This window comes from Homo sapiens, chromosome 4, assembly GCF_000001405.40.
Source record: "Homo sapiens chromosome 4, GRCh38.p14 Primary Assembly".
Taxonomy (NCBI): domain Eukaryota; kingdom Metazoa; phylum Chordata; class Mammalia; order Primates; family Hominidae; genus Homo; species Homo sapiens.
In genome coordinates this window covers 186705125-186730944 of record NC_000004.12, presented here as the reverse complement: position 1 = coordinate 186730944, position 25820 = coordinate 186705125, and the positions used below count along the sequence as shown (strand labels likewise).

Sequence of the window (25820 nt, the reverse complement as noted above, 5' to 3'; positions counted from 1 at the left end):
GGGGTAGGGCATTAATTGCTAATGCTTCCCAGGATTTTGTAAGAATGACATGAGATAATGCATATAAAGAAGGTGGAACCAAGTCCGGAGCATAACTGGCAGTAAATACATGTTACTGGCCATTGGTTCTACAGAGCTTCATAGCTGAGATAGGAGTGGCAGGGTGAGACACAGTAGGTAAATTTGAGGAGACTAATGATATTGTAGTTACAATTATTCTTTTTTTTTTTCAGATGGAGTTTCGCTCTGGTCGCCCAGGCTGGAGAGCAATGGCGCAATCTCAGCTCACTGCAACCTCTGCCTCCTGGGTTCAAGTGATTCTCCTGCCTCAGCTTCCTGAGTAGCTGGGATTATAGGCACACACCACCATGCCCAGCTAATTTTTGTGTTTTTAGTAGAGACGGGGTTTTGCCACGTTGGCCAGGCTGGTCTGGAACTCCTGACCTCAGGTGATCCACACGCCTCGGCCTCCCAAAGTGCTGGGATTACAGGTGCAAGCCACTGTGCTTGGCCACAATTATTCTTTACTGGTATCTCTCACAACCAGTGAGGGAGATTTTGTGTGTGTGTGTCCATTTTAGAGATCTATCTTTATAGAGGAAAGTGAGATTCCCAAAATTCAGTTATAACCAAATAAATTCAAACTATATATGTCAAAGACAAGATTCAAAACAGGTCAAAACAGGTCTTCTAACCTCAAGTGTAATGCTCTTTCTACTGCATACTTCTATTGAGAAAGTAGCTTCAATAGTAAGTTGCCAGATGACTTGTTGCCTACTGTTCAAAAGGTTAGAATCTTTCAATCACTGAGCTGGTAAAGCATCACAAAAATTATATTTATCTTGCAATATCTGTTCCCAAACCACCTGGGGATGTTTATCTTATATTTGAGGGACAGAATGTCTACGGCCACCCTACTCCACTATGGGTGTGTCTTTAAAATGAAAGTATACTTTGTACCTTTTTTTTTTAATGGTTAGCCATTAGTAGGTGATTTGTAATACCTCCAAATACTTTCCCAAGTGACTGGTTATGGCATCAGAAATTTCATGTTTTAACTATAGCTTTAAGAAAGCCCTTGCTATAAGGCACTGGGAAGGGTGGAAGGATATTATTATAACATACTCATACCCATAGTTAACCAGCACTGATTCCCATCAGATTGACTAGGTGTCTAATGTTCTTTTTTTTTGAGATGGAGTCTCGCTCTGTCACCAGGCTGGAGTGCAATGGCGCCATCTCAGCTCACTGCAACCTCTGCCTCCCGGGTTCAAGTGATTCTCCTGCCTCAGCCTCCCGAGTAGCTGGGATTACAGGCACCCGCCACCATGCCCAGCTAATTTTTGTATTTTTAGTAGAGACGGGGTTTCACCATATTAGCCAGGCTGGTATCAAACCCTTTCCCTCAGGTGATCCACCCGCCTCAGACTACCAAAGTGTTGGGATTACAGGCATGAGCCACCGTGCCCAGCCAGGTGTCTAATGTTCTAATGGCTCCCTCTGAGAGTACAAGCTGATTCCGGAGAAGAGCTGTATTTGAATGCAAAGGGTAAAATAATTCCAAGGTGCAGGGGAAGTGGAGAGGGCTGATATTTCCTCTCACCTCCAGGAAGGGGAGGCCGCAATGGGCACACAGGCAGATGAGAAAGCAGTGAAAGCAGCAGAGAGGGTGGGATGCCAGGAGTCAGTCAAGCCTACTTAGAAGTATTTGGTCCTAGGGCTATTCCAAAAAATGTCTCAGAATTGTTTCCTGCTTTAAATCTATGATTTCCCCTGGTTTTATGAGTCAGCAAAGACGGAAAACAACTAAAAGGCCATGTTAATATTTCTTAATCACTAAACACACCTACCTCATTAAATCTTGGGTCTTACATATTTTCACCCAGCATATTGTTGGTACTTGATAAATATTTGCTGAATGAATGAATCCTTCCATGATTCTGGGTCCTCCCTTATACTTCAGAGGTGACTCAGTATTGGACACACTGAAATTTTAATGCTTGATGTAGCCTTCCATAAAATAGCAGTGTTTTTAAAGGTCTAGACCAAGGTGTCCAGTGGAACTCTGTCATGACGAAAATGTTCTTTGATCTGCTGCGATCAATACAATTGTCACTAGCCACACATGGTCACTGAAACTCGGAATGCAGCTGGTGAGACTCAGGAAGTGCCTTTTAATTTAGTTTAACTGGAAGTAGCCACAGGGGGCAAGTGGCTGCCCACTACATTAGCACAGCTCTAGAGGTTCTGTTAAAAGTTTTCTGCCCATCTCACTTTGAAAACCAGCTATTTTGACTAATATCATCAATTGTTATTCATAAGTTCCTGTCATTTGTGATTTTTATCTTTTTTAAGTAATTTGGTTTATTTATTACAACTTTAAAGTGAGTATAGCAAACCAAATGGACTTCAGCGAGAAGCCTCTCGGGGTGAATTTATTGTGAATCATTTTGAGGACTTGCAATATGTGGTCAATTTCTAATTTCAACTATTGACACAAAAGGAGAGAGCCTGTGTAGTTGAAACAGGGAAGCAGGAGAAGTCCGCTGGGCACTGACAGACTGGCCTCTCAAGCCAGCCTCCTCCCTCCTTAGGAATCTGGCACCCTCTAGCTGCCCTCGGGGTCTGCAGGAGCTCTAAAATCCCTTCCTATATCCCTCCGTGTCCTAGCTCCCTGGATCCTCTCCTCCCTTCCAAATCAAAATGTACCTTGAGGGAGAGGCTTGGGCAGGAGGATCTCTTGAGCCCAGGAGACCTGACTTGAGTCTGGAGACCTGCCTGGCAGAATCTCCAATCAGTGGTGATGATGCTGATTTTATGGATTAAAAACTGAGACACTGCCAAGAAGTGAGGGAAGGGAGCGGGGGAGGGCAGGAAAACTAATATTGTTTAAGTACCTACTATGTGCGTGCTAGACACTTCATATGATGCTCAGTAAAAATGCTTTGCCTGCATGAATAACTGTTATCTCCCTGGCAAGTAGAGTGCAGTATGTTTTTTTTTTGAATGGATAAACACATGAATACATTTTTACCACATGAAGCAGATATTAGTCCCATATCACAGATGAGGACACTGACATTTAGACAAGTTATGACTTCAAGGCTAAACACACACAACATTCCAATCACCTAATCTTGTTCTCTCCTTACTGTTTAGCTCCCTGCCCAGTTTCCTCTGTGCTCAGAATTTTGCTCTTGACCTTTGTAAAAGAACGACCAGCTAAACTGATCAACATATTTATACCAACGGATGCAAATATGATAGAACCGCCCCCAGCCCCCTTTTGCAAGGATCTTGAATGTTAATGACAATCTTCTGGGGACAATGTCAACTCACAGAAATGGCTCCCTCGGAATTTCACGCTGTTCGGGGAGGTATTTTGGTACTTTAGTGGCATTAAAAATATATTCCACAGCAGATATTTTCCTGGAGGCTGGACACTTACATAAAGACGACGCATTCTTTATAAATTAAACCTCAACAGTGTTTGCATTTATCTAAATGGATATTATTTCGAGGAGGAGACAGTGATTTGCGTATTAGCCCCTATCACTAGGGATGACTTGTAAGACACATTAGGAACTGGCTCCTCCCCTATCCCTTCGCCCCCTCCTCTCAGAACCTTATAAGCTTCAGAGTACGGTCAAGACAAGAGGAGCATTGGGAAAGAATTTGAAAATAAAAATACAGCTCCGTGATTTTCAACACAAAGACCACGAAGAGCATAATAATAAGTCGTGAAAAAAAATTCACATCCAGAAGTTGGAGGGCCACAAAGTACAAGTCGTCCAGGCCAGTCTGCAGAGACTGTTCATGCTTCCGCCCAGCAAAAATCTGGCAGGCGACACATCGCGACGAATTTCGGCTGCAGAAGAGGAAGAGCATCACCTGCAGTCCGCGGCGTGGGAAACGCCGCCGGAGGGGCTCCGCGAGCCGGGGAAGTGCGCGCAGCGGGGCTCCAGGCGGCTCCAGGCGCTGAGTGCGAGGAACGCCCGCGCTCGCCGGCGCCCGGGAGACGCAGCCGAAGGAGGAGGGCGGGCGTTTCACCCGCGCCACAGCTGCGGCCGGCCAGAGAGACCGCAGAGGCCGGGACCCCCGCAGCCTCCACGGCCGCTGCTGCCACTGTCGGGGTGGCGCGCCCAGCCGGAGAATCCCGTCCGCGCCCGGGGCGGGGGGCGAGGCGGGGCGCTGACGTCACCTCCCCTCCCCCACCGCCTCCAAGGGGGAGGGAGTGGGGAAAGAGGCAGCGAGTCGCCGCAGCCGGCGGCCGCAACTCCTCAACTCGGCGGCTGGCTGCCTGGGCACGTCCTGACAAACTTGGCTGCTCCCGGGCCCTCGTTCCGGCCCCGCGCACTCTCTTTTCGCCTGCGTTTGGTGCTTAAGTTTGCCCTGGTCGGAAGCCTCCGGAGATGCGGCCGCCTGGGTCCCGGCGGCACGGACGTTGGCACTCTGGTTAGGGACATGCTGAAGATCCCGGGGAGGCAAAGTTGGTACTTCAAACCCGGCTCTTAACACATATCTACACCGCGAGGGGATCACGGAGCTGCCGAGGACTTTAGAGCCCAGGGCCGAGGACTCGGCTAGACTGGTGAGTTCTTTGTTCAAATCGTGCATGCCTTTTGGCATTTAAGTTTAAACGTTAATGAAATTACGTGGGGTGTGTGGCTCTAAGCGAGTGCGGGGAAGCGTGTGCGCCCTACGGGTTCTCGGCTCCAGGAGCTGCGCATCCCTCTGGCTTTGTGCGGATCGGCGATGAAAGATTCGTATGCATAGCTTTGGGAGTTCATAAAATACATATAGAGCACTGTTAAAAAGAACTTGAGAGGCGATGCTGTTTGTGCATTATTTTGAATGTAACTTATTATAGCAATGGTGCCTAGGGAGGGCGCATCGGGGCCGCGAGATTTGCAGGGGCGCAGCGCCCTCTAGTCCGGGCACCTGGCGAGGCGCGCTCCTTGCAGGGTTCTGTGCGGAGGCGAACCTGGACCTCCCCGGCGCTCGGCGACGTGGGCGCTTGCTCACCCCAGTCTTCACTGACCACCCACCCGGGCCCATTCTTTATATGAGTTACAAAAATCAGCTTGGGTGGACTGGATGTAGAGGCCGTGCTGGAGGAAAGCGTTTTGTTTCTGGAACCGTCTCCCCAACCCCCTCCCTAATTTCCACGAGCCTTTGGGGACAGGGTTAGGGAGGGTCGATTATTTAAAGGACAAATGTGGAACTTGAACCACATTTCTCTCTCTCATATAAAATAATTCGATTTGTGGTAGCTAATAGGCATGTCCATTTCGTTCTGTTGGCGCTTAAGGATCAGTAGAATCGTGGCAGAGTCCTAAGTCTGAAATCTCCATCCCTGGCTCTCGGCGGCTCCTGTGGCGACGAAGTGCAACTTCTTCCAGGCAGATAGATTTCTCAGGGAGCCTGGAAAATCGGGATTCCCAGACAGATGTAAAACATCTAGTAAGCCCTAGGAAGCGTTATTACTTATTAATTAATGGTAATCTTCTCCAGGAATTCTCTTGTGCCATTTAAAAAAAATCCCGTGATTTTACGTCAGGGAATGGTATCTTTGTACTTTTTTTACTGTTCTTCTTTTCCCCTTTTAGCATTACTCCCGCTTCCTCGCTCCCAGGAAACGGCTGGAGTTCCGGTGTGTTTGGGTTTTGCTGAGATTTACAATTCGGCAAGCGGCACAAGCCGGTTGGGCTTGGAGATCAGGTCACCCACTTTCGAGGTGTTCCATGTATGAAATTGACCTGTAAGCACTTGGAGCAATTATGGCCGGGACAAACACGTCTTTGGATGATGGAGTTTGCATTTGCTGGATGTGTGAATCTATGTGTATTCCAACTGGTGGGCAGGGAATATAGGGCTACGAATCGGCACACTCATCTTGCAGGCATTATTTTTCCTTCCCAGCCACAACCTGCTAGACACCTTTATTATTATTATTTTTTCCGGTCACCTCTAAGATGGCTTATAAGGTGACTGCGTTAACTTTGAACCCAGGAAATTCTCTTTCACACTTGACTGCCCTGCCGTTCCCCTCCCCGCCAAGCTCCCCTCACCAGTCCCAGGGAAATCGGATCTCTTTGTCTTCCCAGTGTTAAAATGCCTGAGTCCCACAAACTTTCCGAGATCAAGTCCGCCCTCTTGTCCGGGCTGCGTCCCAGCGCCTCCGGCCCTCCGGGCTTCGGCCGAGTCCGCCCTGCGCCGAGCCTGCGGCTGGAGCCCTGCCCGCACCGGGGATGGGCTCCGCGCCCGGGACGCTCAGGCTGGGCGCCCGGCGCGGGGAGTTCTCGGAGCGGGCTTCTCGGCGCTGGGGCTTCCCCTCTGCCTAGGAACTTGCAGTTGTCGGCCTGGGGTCACGCTTTGGGGCCCCTGGGGCCGACTCCCGGGCTAGGAAGCCCGCGGGACGCCGCGACTGCCTTTTGTCCCACAGGCCTGGGCGTCCGGGGTGTCAGCGGGGGAGGCCAGGCGCCCGCGGCGGGGAGGGCCTGGGGTCTAACTCGGCAGAAAAAGGTCGCGGGGGAAGCGTTTCCATTTTCTGGGGATTGAAGGAGGAAGTAGATTCCGACCTAGCTGCATTCCTTTGGAGACCTGAAGGACGACTTCAGCCCACCAAACCTTCGCGGACCCAGAGCCGCGCCATTCAAATGCAGATTCAGGGGCTCCCAGAAGGCTATGGAAAAGCTAAAGGGATGCCTCTGGGAAGCTTTCTCATTAGGCCCCAGCCTTTTTTTTTTTTTTTTTTTTTTAGCTAAGCTAACGTTTCCCTTTCTTGGCAGGGAGCTTTCCCCAATTCCTTGCACAGCGCCTGTGGCTGGCCGTAACTAACCTCGGCATCACAAGCCTCGCCCTGCCCCTCGGAGCCGCGCTAGACCCCGCTGGGCGCCTTCTCGTCTCCCAGCACGGACCTGGTGTTCGCAGGGACTGGGGCTCTTTGGGTCCGGGCGGGACTGCGTGGCCGAGCCCGCGGTCCCAGAGCCGGCAGCCGGGGAAAGTGGGCTCGAGTTTCCGCGCCCGAGAAATGAGCGCCGGCGCCGGCGGGCGGGGCCGGGGCGGAGGGATCTCCTGCGCTCGGGGAGCGTGAGGCGCCGGCGCCGAGCTGGGCGGCCGGGCGCGGGGAGAGGGCGCGGGAGCGGCTCGTGCGGCAGGTACCATGCGGACGCGCGAGCCCGGCGAGGGCCCCGGCAGGCCCGGTCCCTGCTCGGGGGCGCGCTGAGACGGCGGGTGAGCTCCACGAGAGCGCCGTCGCCACTTCGGGCCAACTTTGCGGTTAGTTCGCTGGGGCGCGGGCCGGCGGGCGGGGGCGAGAGCGTGCAGCGCGCTGCGGTGCGGACTCTGTGGGTGTCCGCCCGGTCCCCGGCTCGGGCTCCGGCGCTGCCGAAAACGGATGAGCGCGCGACTTCCCGGAGGGTGGAGTGACTCGGTCCTTCCCAGTTGGGAAATTCAGCACTGGCTAGGGGGGTCCCGGCGGCGGAGCGGGAAAAGGAGGCGACCGCGCGGGACCGATCCGGGGCCATTGCTGGGGTCCGATCCTTTCTGACACGCCGCCTTCCCTCCGGGAGCTCGCCGGGCTGCGCCGGCCTCGCGGTCTCCTGGGGCATCCCGCCGTCTGCGAAAGACCCGCTCGCTGAGCGGTGCACGCGGGAGGCCTGCGCGGGGCTGCCGGGTCCCTGGGTCTCTGGGTGTTTGCGCCCTGCAGGAGCGCTGCCCGGAGGTGCAGATGCAACCGGTGGACTGCGGAGTGAAGGGCTGCGAGGCTGCATTTCGGGGCTGAACATCTGCACAATGTGCGGTTTGTCAGTGTTTTCTGTCTTCTCTGGAGGAGGAACTTCTAAGATCTTTTTAAAAGAAAGAGTTTTTGGTCCTTCATTGCCTTTAAAAAAAAATGCTTTCTTTTAGAGAGCCAGCTTTCTGCTGTGTGTTAGATTTTTTTGTTCCCGCTGATGTGAATTGCAAGGCTTTGGAAACAAGGACGCAATTGTATGAGTTAGGAAAGTAAACTCATAAATATTTTCTATGCAGTTAAGTTTTTTTTTTTGTCTGAACTGTGGTTTCATTAAGTGGCTTTTGTTAAGCAATTCCCGGGTGCCTGATAGAGGCGATTTTTTAAAAGTGGATATTAACAGTGATTATTAGTATGAGAAAAGATTGAAAAGAAAATGACCTTCAGATATTCATTTCCTTTTCAAAAGCAGATTCTTAATGCTTCGTATATTCAGATACAGGTTTCGATAGTTTAAGAAGGTATCTGTGTGTGAGAACTAGGTAATGGTGATGTTTTTCACACTATTCTTAATGAGTTTGGTTATGCTGTCCAACACATCCAGTTGTTACAGGGACGTTTGAAAAGGTGTTTCTCCAGTTAATAGTTAATTGTGATATTTGTCTTTGTCTTTTTGTCTTAGGAAGACAGCTCTGATTCCACAGTTAGAATTATTCCTTTGTATTTAAGATGTAAAAATACTTAAAGCACTATGTAATTTTTTAAAACAACAATTGGTATAAGCCTTGAGTGATGCTAAACATGGCATTTAACAAGCTCAAGGTAAGGTTTGATTTGAATGAAGTTTGCATTTGTATAACCATTTTTTGAAAAATGAACACCTTAAATGAGCCAAATTCTTTGGCACTCTGGAAAGAAGTGTGGTTGTTAGAGGACTTTATAAAATCATTTCGGGCCACCTGTATATTCATTTGTCTCTTTTGAAGTATCCCCGTTGGGTTCTCATCATGTTAGTAGATCATTTAAATCCATGGTCCGGACAGGTGCCAACAGAAAAATGTTTAAAAATTATGGCCGGGCGTAGTGCCTCACGCCTGTAAACCCAGCCCTATGGGAGGTCGAGGCGGGCGGATCACCGGAGGTCGGGGGTCCGAGACCAACCTGACCAACATGGAGAAACCCCGTCTCTACTAAAAATACAAAATTAGCGGAGTGTGGTGGTGCATGCCTGTAATCCCAGCTACTTGGGAGGCTGAGGCAGGAGAATCGCTTCAACCCGGGAGGCGGAGGTTGTGGTAAGCCGAGATCGTGCCATTGCAATTCAGCCTGGGGAAAAAAAAGAAAAGAAAAAGAAGAGAAGAAAAATCTTTAAAAATTATGCACAAACTAATTCTGTTTTCATTCCCCTGATCATCCTCTACCTTTCCATTGCCTTTAGACTTTGCTTTGAGGTCCCTTTGAAGCAGTCGTTTCTTTGAATGTTAGAGGTGGATAGGATCTTAGAGATTATGTTTTAACACTTTACCCGCTTGCTTTCCACCCAAGTTTGGCTGATTTTACGTAGAATCAATCAGCCAAATCAAATTAGTACATTATTATTGCATTAGATTCTGTCTCAGTGGCATAATTTGTAGCCTAAAGGACCTGATTTAATAGCAGGGAGCCGTAAGGCTGGATGTGCTGTTTAATCTTTATGAGTGGGATTTGCGCTAGATAATTGTTCTTTTGACCAAATTATGTAGAAGTTGAAGCCAAACTCTATCTTTTGGTCTCACTTAATTGTTCAGTTTGCAAGTGCTTATTTATCCTTAGACACTGGAGAAGAGTTTTTGAAATGAGTGATATACATCAGTTAAGATCAGGAAGTTGCCATTTTCTCATACCTGAGGGGAACTTTTCATTTCAAAAATATATTCTGATGAGGAATCTGCATATTTCACTCTTTTAAGTTTTTTAAGTCATCTTTTACTGTAAGTCCCAGATTTAAATACATTGCCTGAATTCTTGCTTAATTCCAAGGGTTCATTATGTATGTGAAGATAAGTCTATAAAGTAAAAATAATAAAGGCTTCTATACACTGCTTAGGAAATATTAGTCATGATTTAATCTGTATCCTTCATAGAATATTAAGGTTAGAGCTTTGTGATAATCTGCAACACAGACACTGATCTGGCATTATCTATAGCCAATTTTGAGGCAGCGTAAGGTGGGTGGTGACCTCTTTCTGAGCTATTGGAAATGAGTCCTCTACAGAGCAGCCACCTGCAGTGTTGTTACCAGCCTCGTGGTTGTGCCTGGATTTTCTGTTAATTTGAGAAGGATGGATGTTTTATTTTCCTATGTTATCCCTCTCTATATCCCCTCCCCAACACAGTCCTGCCTCACATTTCTCACTCTTAACGCTTTATTCATCTGTCCATTTACCAATCCAACAATAGTGGACCTCCTCTGTGTCAAACATTGGGCCAGACACAACATCTAGTGCTGAACAAATCGTGTTTCCTGCCCTCAAGCAGCTCGTAGTCTGATAAGGGAGAGGACAAGTACACAGTCTCTTATAGACCAGTGTGATAAGAGATCCATTCAGGTCAAGGTGGTCCATAGCAGCACCTCAGTGAGCTGGGGGATCTGGGGCAGGTGGATTTAGGATAATGTGAGTTCTGAGGGAAGTGTGAATCAGAGGGGAACAATTCAAGCAGAGGAAATGATGTGTGCAAAGCAAGTTATAGAAAGCATAGTGTGGCTTGTGGTGTGATGAGTGGAGAGAAATTCTGAAGACCTCACCGTACCATGTTATCTTAGGAAAAGGATTGGCTTCTTTTTTTTGTCTAGGTAGAACATAGAGAATCTTGACTATGACTTAAATAATCTTATTAAAAAAGGGAGGATTGTTTTTATGAGGCAGAGGTTAAGGAGAGAGAAAAAGAAAGAAACGTTGAAGAGAAAGGTGAAAACAAATAAGCTGTATGTGAGGAGTGGAGGGCAGGAAACAAAGAAAATAGTAATGTTTGCATTATCTTTCGGAAGGGAAGAGGTCAAGATGTTACATTACTTTAGAGCCTTCACCACTAGGTGGTGTTATTGGCTCAAGACAGCTTGGTTACTGAACTTGTTGCAAGTCTGGGAAGTATGCCTTTTTGTTTTGAAATAAGAAGTAGTGTTGGGAAATTAGGAAATTAGTTAGAGGTTAGATTATCAAAGGTCTTTAATGCAAGGTTAAGAATCATATACTTAGCAGGCTAAGGGGAAATACTGAATATTTTCAAGCTAAAGAATAATATCACAAAGAAGTTTGAATAGGTTGACTGGGATTGGGGGCAGAAAGCAGGAATACCAAAAGACTGTAGGAATACTCTGCATGAACAAAATACCCATTCTAACTAGGTGGTAGCAGCAGAAATGCAAAGGGAACCATTTTGAGAAATTGAGAAAGAAATGTCAAGTTTGGATAACTTTTGAGAAATGAAGGTTTGAGAGCCAGGAGGCTGTAAAGATTTTAGTCCATCCTTCAATTTCTCGAATACATAGAGTCGAAAGGATTAAGCAAGTTCCTTGAATTCACACAGTTGATTAGTGACAAAGCTGGAGCTAGGTTCCACATTTGATGTTCTCCCAACCCCTTCCTTTTTGTTTGATTTGTTAGTTTGCAAACTTGGTTGATTTGGGAAGTGGTGAGATTGGAAAATAACTGGAAGAGCTGTTATTTTGCAATGGCGAAAGGGTGAAAAGTCTATATAGTTGTCCCTTGGTCTCTAAGGGAGGTTTGGGATTTTATACCCAAATCTGAGAATGCTCAAGTCCCTGATATAAAATGGGGTACTATTTATATTTTTACTGTTTTATTGTTTATTTTAAAGACGTTCTCAACCTGAGGTTGGTTGGATCCATGGATGCAGAACTCTTATATAGTGAAGGCCAATCGTATAACTTAGGTTTGATGGTATTTTAGGAGGAATGTTACGAGGTGTTTGAGAGAGGTTAGAGCTGAAATTGCAGATTTGGTGCACTGATCCTTCATGATTTGAGGCAGAGTAGATGAGATCTTTAAGGGTGGTAATAAATGCATGTGGAGGAAGAGTTGGAAGACAAGTTTGTAATGCCAGAGTTGTAGGTGAGTCAGTGTAGAGTATAAAAGAGTATGGAAGAGAATCAGGAGAATGTTGTCATTCATTTTTCATACCTGTGGATTGCCTCTTTGTTTTGGGGGACTCTGTGACCGAATGAAGGATCAGGAGTGTTGGGGAGGGGAGTGAGTGGTGTCAAAGGTGTCATGAAATCAAGGAGGATGAGCACTGAGAAAAGGTCATTGGTTTGACATTAGCTTGTGATGCGGGAACGGCTGTTCTGCCAGGGTGGACCTGCAGGATCTCTGTGGAGCAGCGTTTGGCGGAGAGGGAGTTCTAAGGAAGCCAGGGCGGTGCTGTGAAACTCCTTTTCTTGCGATCTTTGCCAGTATAAAAAAAGAGAAGAATAAGAGTGTTTGTTTGAAAGAAGCAAAGGTTTGAATGAAGTTTATTTTATTTTATTTTATTTTATTTTTTTGAGACGGAGTCTGGCTCTGTCGCCCAGGCTGGAGTGCAGTGGCGCAATCTCGGCTCACTGCAAGCTCCGCCTCCCGGGTTCAAGCGATTCTCCTGCTTCAGCCTCCTGAGTAGCTGGGACTACAGGTGCATGCCACCACGCCCGGCTAATTTTTGTATTTTTAGTAGAGACGGGGTTTCACCATGTTGGCCAGGATGGTCTCAATCTCTTGACCTCATGATCTGCCCACCTCAGCCTCCCAAAGTACTGGGATTACAGGCATGAGCCACCGTGTCTGGCCAAGCTTATTTTTTAAGTAGGAGAAGAACCTGTGTGTGTGTATGGATTCTGCACAAGGTGTCAGGAGTGGGAGGAGCTGTAGAAGAGGCAGGATTTTGTGGTATCAGAGTATCTTTATTTGCAGCTAGGGTGGGTGGCATCTCTTCTGAGGTGTAAGAAGAGAGAACAGGTGAAGAGAACATTTTAAGAGGAGGAGGGAAGATGGACTTTTCTCCCTGAAGATTTCCGTTTTCTTGCTGTACATGGAACATTCACTTTCCTGGTCTGTCATTTAGTGAAGGGTTGACCGAATCTAATTATACAGGGAGCCCAATTCAACGTATAAAATAAAGTCTTACTTACCAACTTGGGAGTGGAAGAAGTGGCCATTGTTGATTATTGGCTACTCTGCCAAGATGTCATTTAAATTACTTCTGTTTGTGGAGAAAAATACATTAGATGAGATGATCTCCATTCACAAGAGGTCAACAGTCCATTGAGCTTCTCCTTGGGCAAAGTTTGTCCTGGAATGTGGATGAGGAGAAAGTGGTTGGAGGATAAGGAATATATAGAGAGGGGAAAGAAGAGAATAGCACAGGAATGCCTCACCCTGCCAGAAATAGACACACAGCCGCTGCCTACCTGTCCTGTCTTGTCGTTCCCAGGAGCACAGAACAACTAGAACCCGTCATCTTCGTAATGCCAACAGACATGTTTTATAGGTTCATGTAGATAACTAGGTTTTATATAGAGGCTGTTTGAAAAATAGGACATCTGTTTATCTTTCTTAAGGGCAGGAACACTTCAGGAATCTATTTTGGATTGATTAAATCATGTACATGGTGAAGTTTTCTGAAAAAGCCAGATTGTAGTTCCACACTGTCATTGTCAGTAAAGACCATTCTCAGGGTTAAATTGGAACCGGTGGTTGATCATGTGAAGGCAATATTTAAAGTATGTCTTGCTAGAGTTACCAGATTATTGCAGCCCCAGTCAAAGATAACAACATATAAATGGAGTTAGCAGAAGTGATTAAATGACATATACCAAGCCTAAGGCTGCTGCTCAATTTCTAGGGTCACAGCTTCCTCCGTTCATGCTGAAAATCATATGAAGATGGGTTGAAAAGAATTAGTGTACACCCAGAAAATAAACAGGATCTACTCATTAGTATTTCAGTGTAAGGATGAAAGCTTTTAAAAGTACCGACATGGCTATGATAATTGAACTAGAAAAATAGAGAGTTTTTTTTTTCCTGTTGTAAATTTTATTTGGAATGTCTGAAATTTTAGAAATCATTCAACATTCTTTTTAATATACAGTATTTTTAAAAAGCCATTTACGCTGGGTGCGGTGGCTCATGCCTGTAATCCCAGCACTTTGGGAGGCTGAGGTGGGTGGATGACTTGCAGCCAGGAATTCGAGATTAGCCTGGCCGTCTCTACTAAAATACAAAAGTTAGCTGGTCATGGTGGTGCATGCCTGTATTCCTAGCTACTCAGGAGGCTGAGGCATGAGAATCGCTTGAACCCAGAAGGCAGAGGTTGCAGTGAGCCACGATTGCACCGCTGTGCTCCAGTCTAGGTGACAGAACAAGACTGTCTCCAAAACAAACAAACAAACAAAAAAACTCGTTTACAATTCATAATCTCTTGACAACTTCATGATCCTGCTTTGAAAATGTGTTTGCCGGCCAGGCCCAGTGGCTCACAACTGTAATCCCAACATTTTGGGAGGTCCAGGCAGGTCGATCAGTTGAGCTCAGGAGTTCGAGACCAGCCTGGGCAACATGGTGAAACCCCATCTCTACAAAAATACAAAAAATTAGCTGGGCATGGTGGTACGCCCAGGTACCCCGGAGGCGGAGGCGGGAGGATCACTTGAGCCTGGAAGGTTGGTGCTGCAGTGAGCTATGATGGTGCCACTGCTCTCCAGCCTGGGAGATAGAGCAAGACCCTGTCTCGGGGGAAGAAAGATGCTTGCAATTTAGAGATCTCTTAAAAATACTTTAAAAATGTGACACTGAACTGAACTCGAAATTCCAAATTTTAATCATGAGTTAAATTCTACTGACGCTTTCACTATGTTGATAGAAAATGAGAGTGGAGAAGAGCACAGTGAGGGAGAACACAGAGTTCTCAACTTAATAATTTTGTGTTTTTATCATAACATGTGAAATGAAAAGTTTAATAATGTCCTGTTCCATAAAGGCTAGAATGACTACTTGTGCTTGTAAGAATTGTGACCGCTCAGTAATAAATATGCGGCGTTTAACAGAATTGGTGCATTGTGTGATGCTGTGTCTCACCTAATGTCCTGTCTCTGTGGCGTGTGAAACCCTTCGAAGACTTGAGCTTGAGGTCATCTAAACACTTGAATATATGCAGTTAGGTTTTCAGCACAGGGGCTGTGTTCTGTTTTGTGAAGAATGTGCAGTCACAGTAATTGATGGAAGCATTTTACATGAAGGTCTCCCTAATGAAGAAATATGAAGATATTAATATCTGATTTTTACTGCAAAAGTTATTTTTCTGCCGTATTTATAGATTTTCAGAGATCTATGCTAAAGATATTTAAGCTTTAGACTGGGAGCCCTTCTCCTTCAAGGCTAGACTAAGTAAACACTCTTTGTTTTGGCTTCGGAAAATGCATTTTAGAAATCCCAAATTGCAGTGAGTTTAAGTAGTGTGATCACCTTCTAAATATCAAAGTATAGCCCTTGGCTCAGATGGTCTTTGGAGTTTAATTTCCATAAGCAAAGGAGTCTAGGCGATAAGGTCCTTTTTAGATGAAATGGTGTTGGAGTCTCTCCCCGCTTCAGCTTTACTGTTTGTTTTGCATGAGAGCCACAGCCATTGTTTTGATCAGGGTGGTTTTTATAGTGAAACCTGAATTCGTGGTTCTTGGTTACATTACTGCACGGTTAACAATGTCTTCCAAAAAGTGTATTTTTTCATTTAATAATTTATTCTACTCACAGTAGCATTCTGTTAGCCAAGTTTGCAGAGTACATTCAGGTTTTTCAAAGATTTCAGTTAGGAATGTGGTCCACAAGTCCGTCCCAGCTGTATTGTGTCCCGTGAGAACTGCTGAGTAGGATGTGGAAGGTAATTGCATGTTTGGGAATCCAGTTGGGGATGAGTGGGTGGTGGTGGGGGCTGTGGTGGGACTGAGCACCTGGGACAGCATGGGGAGAGAACAGCCAAAGCAGTCTGACGTGTTGGCCATGGTCTGTGTGTCTTAGGGGATGGAACAGTGCCAGAGCCTTCTGGTGGGGGGATGGAGGGGGAAGCAGCGTGGCGCATCAGCAAGTACTTTTTTTTTTGTTTTTGAGACAGAGTCTTGCTCTGTCACCTAGGCTGGAGTGCAGTGGTGCGATCTCAGCTCAGTGCAACCTCCGTCTCCCTTGTTCACGCGATTCTCCTGCCTCTGCCTCCCAAGTAGCTGGGACTACAGGCGCACACCACCGCACCCAGCTACTTTTTGTATTTTTAGTAGAGACAGGGTTTCACCATGTTGGCCAGGATGGTCTCGGTCTCTTGACCTCGTGATCCGCCTGCCTCGGCCTCCCGAAGTGCTGGGATTACAGGCGTGAGCCACCGCGCCCAGCTGGATTAGTGAGTATTTATATTATATAGAACTCCAAGTTCTAATGTTAGGCTTCAGCTGTAGAAAAATCTTTATTTACTCACTGTTTCTTATCACACCACTATGCTGTGGTTCCCTTTCCTCCCTCAGTGGCCGACATCTCCCCTGTCAGGGCCTCCCGTTTGGACCCTTCAAATCTTGGGGTTCTGCTCTTGGATTTTTTTTTTCTTCTGCCTGCTCTCTTCCTTGGTGATCTCATTCAGTTCTGTGGTTTTAAATACCGTCTTTCATATTTAGACAACTCTCAAATTTCTATCTGCCGGCTGGAGTCTCCCACATATCTGCTGCCCACTCACAATCTTTACTTGGATAGCCCGTAGCTGTTCCCATCTTACCCTGTCCAAAACTGACCTCCCGATCTGCTCCCTGAGGCTGCTTCTCCTCCTGTCTCCCTCTCGGTTCCTGGCCCCCTTGTTCTCTACGCTGAGCAGTCTTTGGCATCTTCTCTGGTACTGTTCTCTCCTCCTTTCCCTCCCTCTCCCCACTCCAGCATCAGGCAACCTTGAAATAGATTCACAATCTGCCCCCCACCCCCGTTGTGCCCCAGCCCACACGCGCTCCACCTGTGTTGTGGCTGCAGCCTCTGACTGCTCTGGTCGCCCTCCAGCTTCTGCCCTGGCTGCCCACAGGTTTTTCCATTTTACTGAGACCGTGGCACTCCTCGGTTCAGAATCCGCTGGGGGACTTCTCATTTGATTCATACTAAACTCTAAAGTCCTAAAAATTGTCCTTTATCCATGAGTCCAGACGGATCTTGAGAAAAAAAAAGATTCAGGTTGGATGCAGTGGCTCACACCTGTAATCCTAGCAGTTCGGGAGGCCGAGTTGGGCAGATCGCTTGAGCCTGGGTGTTTGAGACCAGCCTGGGCAACGTGGTGAAACCCCGTCTCTATAAAAAATACAAACATGAGCCAGGCGTGCTGGTGGTTCCTGAGTATGTAAAATTCTGTCAGTCTAAATCTACAGACGCACCTATAGTCCCAGCTACTCAGGAGGCTGAGACGGGGGCCCGGAAAGCTCAAAGCTTCAGTGAGCCGTGATCGCGCCACTGCACTCCAGCCTGGGTGAGAGAGCGAGACTCTGTCTAAAAAAGAAAAAAAATTGAATAAATAAATGGAGGAAGATAGACAAATCAGTTTCTAGAAGAATTATAAATATTTTGAGTAGCGAAACTCTCTGTCTCTTAAGAATGGGCTACATGCAGTGACTTCCTTACCAAGAATACAGTACAGGGAGGGGTGAAAGTAACCTGACTGTGAGGAAACCTGGCAGATACTACCTCAGTCACGTGGTCAGGAGCAGCGTCAACATCGATAAATCGTGTTGATTTTACCCGCTTGCTACGGTGTGGTGGAAACGACTCTACCTCTGTGGCTTTTCTCCCCAAAACAGAACCCCAATCTAATCAGGAGAGAAACGTCAGATTCCAGTTGAGGGACATCCTACAAAATACCTGACTAGTACTTCTGGAAACTGTCCAGATCATTAAAAGCAAGGAAAATCTGAGAAACGTACATTCCAGAGGAGCCTTAGGAGACATGACAGCTAAATGTAAGGTGGTGTCTTGGAAGGGATTCTAGGATGGAGAGAAGGCCTTGGGTAAAATGAGCAAATTTGAGTGAAGTATGGACTGTAGTTGATGATGTGTCAGTACTGGTTTGTTAGTTGTATCTAGTATAATGTACTAAAGTGAGATGTTAACAGTAGGGGAAGCTCTCTTTGCAACTTTTCTGTAAGTCTAAAAGCATTCTAAAATAAGGTTTATTTTTAAAAAGAACCCCCTTCATGATAGGTTCTCTCCCAGGATGTGCCCCGGCCTTACCGCTGTCCCTCAACCGCTGTGCTCCAGCCACGTGGTCTCTTTCTGGCTTCCCTAATCTAGTGCTTCTCTGCGGGGTGTGACTTTCTGCCCTAGAGGGTGTTTGGCAATGTCTCGAGATAGAGGTATTTTTAGTCATCACAGCTGGGTGATGAGGGGGATGCCACAGGCTTCATGCTGGTGGGGACCAGGAATCATATTGAACACTCTACGTTTCCCCAAAGAATCTAAGAGTTGCCCAGCATGTCACTAGTGTAAGCCCTGACCCTTTGGATTTAGGGTTCCCTCTTTTCCTTCAGGTTCCTGACCCTGGTCTCTCTTTGCCCTGCTTTAGTTTTCTCCTTAGCACTTAATTATCAGCATCGGATATACTCTGTTTACTTGTCTGTCTGTGTCTGGCCAGGAAATGTATCTTCCATCAGGACTTGTTGGTAATTTGGTTCACTTTTGAATCCCCAGCGTCTAGAACTGCACCTGATACATAGTAGATGCTCATTAAACCTATGTAAAAGGAATTAAATAATTAATGAAAGGGGTGAGTGGATGATAAAGACAACACATACTCATGCTAAAAAAAAACCACAGTAGAGAAAAATGCCACAGTAATCATTCCCTCAGCTACCTGTTTCTCTACCGGTTCTCCAGAAGTTACCACTGTTAACAGTTGCTTGTCTGCCTAGACTTTTCTGTCCATTTTAAAGTATATCCGTGGGTACATTGTATCTACCCCCCTTCTCCTCTCTTTTAAATAAACATAAATAGGATCAGCTTCGTTTTTCCAGTTTATATAGCTAGACATATGTCAACATACAGAGTGCTATCTTTTAATGGCTGCATGATAACTTTATACGTAGAATTAAGCAAAAATACTTCTAGTACTTGCAATAGAATCCTGGTATAATATTTTGTTGTACAATGGATGATGGTAAAAATGTCTCCTAAAACATAATGTGACTCCTAAAACAAAAGACACTGCTTGCTAAACATCATCCAAGTGTTTCTGGTTTTGTTTTTTTGTTTTTGAGACAGAGTCTAGCTCTGTTGCCCAGGCTGGAGTGCAGTGGCGCGATCTCGGCTCACTGCAATCTCTGCCTCCCGGGTTCAAGTGATTCTCCTGCCTCAGCCTCTGGAGTAACTGAGATTACAGGCTTGCTCCACCATATCCTGCTAATTTTTGTATTTTTAGTAGAGATGGGGTTTCACCATGTTTTGGCCAGGCTGGTCTCGAACTCCTGAGCTCAAGGGATCCGGCTGCATTGGCCTCCCAAAGTTCTGGGATTACAGGTGTGAGCCACCGTGACCAGCCTCTTTATATGTATTTTTATTTCTAGTTTGTAAATCCCTTGGGATTGGGATCTTTGTCTTTTATTCCTTAACACCATGCAAGGTTCTGTCTGATAAGGTCCTCCATACCTGTAGGTTGAACTTTTTATTTGTTTTGATAAAATTACAAGATTATTTTATAATATTCAAATTTCCCTGAGTATTAGAACTGTTGACTAAATGGAGATACTTAAAGAGATAGTTTTGGGAGAAAATTGTTTTCTTATTTTGTTTAAATGATAATTGTTCTCCTAGAAGCCAAAAATCTGTCTAATTTCTGACTTTATCTGGAGAGGAGAAGGCATCATAGCTAAAGAACAAGTTAGGGTGGCCAACTTGAACGTGGTTCAATATCAATTAAGCTTTAATTGCTTTAAGCACATCAGGTCTTTTTTTCCCCCTAAGGCAATGACTTATGGGGCAGAGTTGGCAGTAGCTAAGTTAAGATACTATAAATTAATGTTGTCGTACCAATTTCAACTGGGCTGTCAAACCCACCCTCCAGTTTGCTCTTCATTTACCTCTGGTAGCATTCACATTTTGTGAATATTAATTTGAGAGTCACTTTGCAAGATGACAGTGCTGTCCTTTGTGAAGCTGTGTTGATTTACAAGATGAATTTGTTGGCAAAGGGGAACAGTTGATCTGAAAATAACTGTCCTGCTTCCCTGGCCAGACCTCAGCCCAGTGGACTTCGCCCACCTTCCCATTTGTCATTGTTAAAGGCAACGTTTTCTTCATTTCTTCAGTTTCTCTCTTTTCTCCGCCAGTCACCCAGGGACTGTCCTGCAGAGTCTGCCACCATGTATTAATAGACTGATTTGACCCTTGACGTGTGTTAGCTTAGAAGATTTAGCTTTTGTGTGTGTGTGTCATCTTCTCATGGAGGGGCCCAGGGTGACAGGTTGTTCGATGCCCTGAAGATAGGAGACATTCTGTGAACAACTGGTTGTTGACAGCAGTGGTGATAAAACATTGATATAGTTGGTAAAGTTTGCTTCACTGACTTAGAGAGGAAAAATGCTGTTTGACATCAGGCTGCTGAATTCTGGTTTTTCTTTTGTAAATTGCCTTTCTTTGGGGCTTATGTTGCTGATAAGTATTATACTTGATATAATTATTTTAATACTTTTAAGTAGTTACATAGAGCGAAATGAGACAATAAACCCTTACATTATGTAGGGAGTGAACTTAACCATTCTTATACAGAAATAATATAATTTCAGGATACATTTTGAAATGAGATTACAAGCTGTTCTTATGGAGCGCCATGTAAAACCACTGCTGGTTTTTGTTTTTTTCTGAATTAGTTGTCAGAAGCTTTGCATTCTCACAATACTGTAGGGGCATTATGTTTGCCAGCTTTTGATCATTTAATTCATTGTATGTAAGTAAATGTAAACAATGTTCATTAATTTTTAACAGTTGCTTATATTTGCCTTAACGATTTAAATATAAAAATATAACTTAGTTGTTACAGTTAGTAGCCTTTCATTTGATACTCATGAAGATTTTTGAGTCGTTTAAATATGAAAGAGAGGACCTTGTCGTTCAAAAATGAAAAGGAAGTTTTTGTTAAGCTTAATAATTCTAGACATGTTACAAGAATGTTGATACTTATATTGGAAAACATGAAAAACATCCCAAACCGTTGCATTTATTTATATTCCATGTGTATGGAAAATATTTTTTTAATGAGAAGTTTAAAACAATGTACACACTTTTGCTTGTTTTATTTCCCCAAGGTAACGATTCTGATTTCTTCTGTTTCAGATTCCCGACAGTTAAGCAATGGGGAGACATTTGGCTTTGCTCCTGCTTCTGCTCCTTCTCTTCCAACATTTTGGAGACAGTGATGGCAGCCAACGACTTGAACAGACTCCTCTGCAGTTTACACACCTCGAGTACAACGTCACCGTGCAGGAGAACTCTGCAGCTAAGACTTATGTGGGGCATCCTGTCAAGATGGGTGTTTACATTACACATCCAGCGTGGGAAGTAAGGTACAAAATTGTTTCCGGAGACAGTGAAAACCTGTTCAAAGCTGAAGAGTACATTCTCGGAGACTTTTGCTTTCTAAGAATAAGGACCAAAGGAGGAAATACAGCTATTCTTAATAGAGAAGTGAAGGATCACTACACATTGATAGTGAAAGCACTTGAAAAAAATACTAATGTGGAGGCGCGAACAAAGGTCAGGGTGCAGGTGCTGGATACAAATGACTTGAGACCGTTATTCTCACCCACCTCATACAGCGTTTCTTTACCTGAAAACACAGCTATAAGGACCAGTATCGCAAGAGTCAGCGCCACGGATGCAGACATAGGAACCAACGGGGAATTTTACTACAGTTTTAAAGATCGAACAGATATGTTTGCTATTCACCCAACCAGTGGTGTGATAGTGTTAACTGGTAGACTTGATTACCTAGAGACCAAGCTCTATGAGATGGAAATCCTCGCTGCGGACCGTGGCATGAAGTTGTATGGGAGCAGTGGCATCAGCAGCATGGCCAAGCTAACGGTGCACATCGAACAGGCCAATGAATGTGCTCCGGTGATAACAGCAGTGACATTGTCACCATCAGAACTGGACAGGGACCCAGCATATGCAATTGTGACAGTGGATGACTGCGATCAGGGTGCCAATGGTGACATAGCATCTTTAAGCATCGTGGCAGGTGACCTTCTCCAGCAGTTTAGAACAGTGAGGTCCTTTCCAGGGAGTAAGGAGTATAAAGTCAAAGCCATCGGTGGCATTGATTGGGACAGTCATCCTTTCGGCTACAATCTCACACTACAGGCTAAAGATAAAGGAACTCCGCCCCAGTTCTCTTCTGTTAAAGTCATTCACGTGACTTCTCCACAGTTCAAAGCCGGGCCAGTCAAGTTTGAAAAGGATGTTTACAGAGCAGAAATAAGTGAATTTGCTCCTCCCAACACACCTGTGGTCATGGTAAAGGCCATTCCTGCTTATTCCCATTTGAGGTATGTTTTTAAAAGTACACCTGGAAAAGCTAAATTCAGTTTAAATTACAACACTGGTCTCATTTCTATTTTAGAACCAGTTAAAAGACAGCAGGCAGCCCATTTTGAACTTGAAGTAACAACAAGTGACAGAAAAGCGTCCACCAAGGTCTTGGTGAAAGTCTTAGGTGCAAATAGCAATCCCCCTGAATTTACCCAGACAGCGTACAAAGCTGCTTTTGATGAGAACGTGCCCATTGGTACTACTGTCATGAGCCTGAGTGCCGTAGACCCTGATGAGGGTGAGAACGGGTACGTGACATACAGTATCGCAAATTTAAATCATGTGCCGTTTGCGATTGACCATTTCACTGGTGCCGTGAGTACGTCAGAAAACCTGGACTACGAACTGATGCCTCGGGTTTATACTCTGAGGATTCGTGCATCAGACTGGGGCTTGCCGTACCGCCGGGAAGTCGAAGTCCTTGCTACAATTACTCTCAATAACTTGAATGACAACACACCTTTGTTTGAGAAAATAAATTGTGAAGGGACAATTCCCAGAGATCTAGGCGTGGGAGAGCAAATAACCACTGTTTCTGCTATTGATGCAGATGAACTTCAGTTGGTACAGTATCAGATTGAAGCTGGAAATGAACTGGATTTCTTTAGTTTAAACCCCAACTCGGGGGTATTGTCATTAAAGCGATCGCTAATGGATGGCTTAGGTGCAAAGGTGTCTTTCCACAGTCTGAGAATCACAGCTACAGATGGAGAAAATTTTGCCACACCATTATATATCAACATAACAGTGGCTGCCAGTCACAAGCTGGTAAACTTGCAGTGTGAAGAGACTGGTGTTGCCAAAATGCTGGCAGAGAAGCTCCTGCAGGCAAATAAATTACACAACCAGGGAGAGGTGGAGGATATTTTCTTCGATTCTCACTCTGTCAATGCTCACATACCGCAGTTTAGAAGCACTCTTCCGACTGGTATTCAGGTAAAGGAAAACCAGCCTGTGGGTTCCAGTGTAATTTTCATGAACTCCACTGACCTTGACACTGGCTTCAATGGAAAACTGGTCTATGCTGTTTCTGGAGGAAATGAGGATAGTTGCTTCATGATTGATATGGAAACAGGAATGCTGAAAATTTTATCTCCTCTTGACCGTGAAACAACAGACAAATACACCCTGAATATTACCGTCTATGACCTTGGGATACCCCAGAAGGCTGCGTGGCGTCTTCTACATGTCGTGGTTGTCGATGCCAATGATAATCCACCCGAGTTTTTACAGGAGAGCTATTTTGTGGAAGTGAGTGAAGACAAGGAGGTACATAGTGAAATCATCCAGGTTGAAGCCACAGATAAAGACCTGGGGCCCAACGGACACGTGACGTACTCAATTGTTACAGACACAGACACATTTTCAATTGACAGCGTGACGGGTGTTGTTAACATCGCACGCCCTCTGGATCGAGAGCTGCAGCATGAGCACTCCTTAAAGATTGAGGCCAGGGACCAAGCCAGAGAAGAGCCTCAGCTGTTCTCCACTGTCGTTGTGAAAGTATCACTAGAAGATGTTAATGACAACCCACCTACATTTATTCCACCTAATTATCGTGTGAAAGTCCGAGAGGATCTTCCAGAAGGAACCGTCATCATGTGGTTAGAAGCCCACGATCCTGATTTAGGTCAGTCTGGTCAGGTGAGATACAGCCTTCTGGACCACGGAGAAGGAAACTTCGATGTGGATAAACTCAGTGGAGCAGTTAGGATCGTCCAGCAGTTGGACTTTGAGAAGAAGCAAGTGTATAATCTCACTGTGAGGGCCAAAGACAAGGGAAAGCCAGTTTCTCTGTCTTCTACTTGCTATGTTGAAGTTGAGGTGGTTGATGTGAATGAGAACCTGCACCCACCCGTGTTTTCCAGCTTTGTGGAAAAGGGGACAGTGAAAGAAGATGCACCTGTTGGTTCATTGGTAATGACGGTGTCGGCTCATGATGAGGACGCCAGAAGAGATGGGGAGATCCGATACTCCATTAGAGATGGCTCTGGCGTTGGTGTTTTCAAAATAGGTGAAGAGACAGGTAAATATGTTTTTATTGCTCTCATTTGATGCCCTTTTCCATTTTTTTTTTTTTTTTAACCATCTGCCCTGTGGCAGCTTCTTCAAAATTCCCTGTTGCTCTTTGGGCTCGGTATAGAAGTGCGTGTGAATATTTTTTTTGGCCCGGCTGCTGTATTGTAGATGTGTTTATTCGTAGTAAGCCATGAAGATGGAAACAAAAGGGCCTGAGTGATTTAAGTGGCGTAAAGTGAGTAAAAGACCAGGGATACATTGAAATTGTTATCACTGATACTGATCTCCAAACTCTATTTTGAACTCTATTATCAAAAGCATCATTATGGTTTTGTTCTGACTTTGAGAAGTCTTTCCAACTTTTTTCAGTCAGTGTATTTGCAGGCTCATACTTAGAACAACTACTGCTACCATCTGGCGTGCCATTCAGAGGTTGTTGCACACCGGCAAAGTTACCCAGTGCAGAGATGATGTGCCAAAACTTCTCTAATGTGGTCTTCACTTAGTACCTCGTCTAGGTTTTGGTCGAGAGGCAGAGGCGGGGTAGTGGCATGCTGAACTGAGAAGACCTGGCTTGGAATCCTGGCTCTTCTAGTTGGTAATTGGTGATCCTGGACAAGCAAATGACTTCTTAGAACTAACTTTTTCCTCTTCTACATGGGGACACTTAGAAATACCGGAAGGTTTAAGTGAGAGTAAAGTGAAATAACACGGGAAAACTCCTGACGTGTGGTAGGTTTATTCATGGTAGCAGTGCTTTGTTGTAATACTGAAGGTTCTGAAACCGGGACCTCCAAGGCAGCAGTCCAAGCTAGAAAGTGCGTGTGTTGCACTTTGTACATACCTCAGTCTTGCTGCGCAGATATTGTAGTTATATGTCAATATGTCCTGGTGGAGTGTGAGCCTTTCGGGGCAGGCTTTTAGCCCCTGCATCTTCTGTGTTTAGCACCTAGCAAAAAGTGCCTGGCACATAGAAGCTGGTCAATCAGTGTTAAAAGACTGCAGGAGTAAATGAGCGAATGTGTTGGCTTTTCATGTCCTGCCCTCTGAGAATGATAGTGGAAATAGAAAAGGGGTGATCATAGCACTCATCAGCAATAGGTGGGGCTCAATTTGTTTACTAATCTCACCCATGTGTACTTTATAAATCTGTGCATTTTAAAAGGGACCTTTTTAAAATTACCTTTAAACTTTATATATTCAGTAATACCACACACACAAAAAAACAAGAGAGTCTTCAGTCAACACCCACCCTGGGATCCATGCCATCTGATAGGTGTGTAGCACATGAAAAATGTAACTGCTGTTTAGAAAAACATTATTTTGGGCTGGGTGCGATGGCTCACGCCTGTAATCGCAGCACTTTGGGAGGCGCAGGTGGGAGGATTGCTTGAGGCCAGGAGTTCAAGACCAGCCTGGGTAACAGCAAAACCTCGTTCCTACCA

General features: G+C 45.4%; 1 protein-coding gene across 4 annotated transcripts in view, besides 3 other annotated features; it reads left to right on the top strand.

The window, feature by feature from the left end:
• Positions 3963 to 4464: an enhancer, noted in NCBI's record as "H3K27ac hESC enhancer chr4:187647635-187648136 (GRCh37/hg19 assembly coordinates)". NCBI's record gives its function as "activates a minimal SCP1, AML or CMV promoter by ChIP-STARR-seq in naive H9 embryonic stem cells {active_cell/tissue: H9 hESC(naive)}" and the evidence as "EXISTENCE:reporter gene assay evidence [ECO:0000049][PMID:30033119]".
• FAT1 (FAT atypical cadherin 1) overlaps positions 4249 to 25820 on the top strand; it is a 138903-nt gene continuing 117331 nt past the window's right edge. For 2 of the 4 annotated variants that reach the window (NM_001440455.1, NM_001440456.1), the window contains exons 1-2: positions 4249 to 4591; positions 21100 to 24382. In NM_001440455.1, the coding sequence (NP_001427384.1) occupies positions 21118 to 24382 (3265 nt within the window). In that variant the 5' untranslated portion in view covers positions 4249 to 4591; positions 21100 to 21117. Of the gene's footprint in view, positions 4592 to 7088; positions 7282 to 21099; positions 24383 to 25820 lie in introns of those variants that run through there. The other 2 variants (NM_005245.4, NM_001440457.1) reach the window with 1 other exon arrangement.
• Positions 5647 to 6646: an enhancer, noted in NCBI's record as "H3K27ac hESC enhancer chr4:187645453-187646452 (GRCh37/hg19 assembly coordinates)". NCBI's record gives its function as "activates a minimal SCP1, AML or CMV promoter by ChIP-STARR-seq in primed H9 embryonic stem cells {active_cell/tissue: H9 hESC(primed)}" and the evidence as "EXISTENCE:reporter gene assay evidence [ECO:0000049][PMID:30033119]".
• Positions 7147 to 7648: an enhancer, noted in NCBI's record as "H3K27ac hESC enhancer chr4:187644451-187644952 (GRCh37/hg19 assembly coordinates)". NCBI's record gives its function as "activates a minimal SCP1, AML or CMV promoter by ChIP-STARR-seq in primed H9 embryonic stem cells {active_cell/tissue: H9 hESC(primed)}" and the evidence as "EXISTENCE:reporter gene assay evidence [ECO:0000049][PMID:30033119]".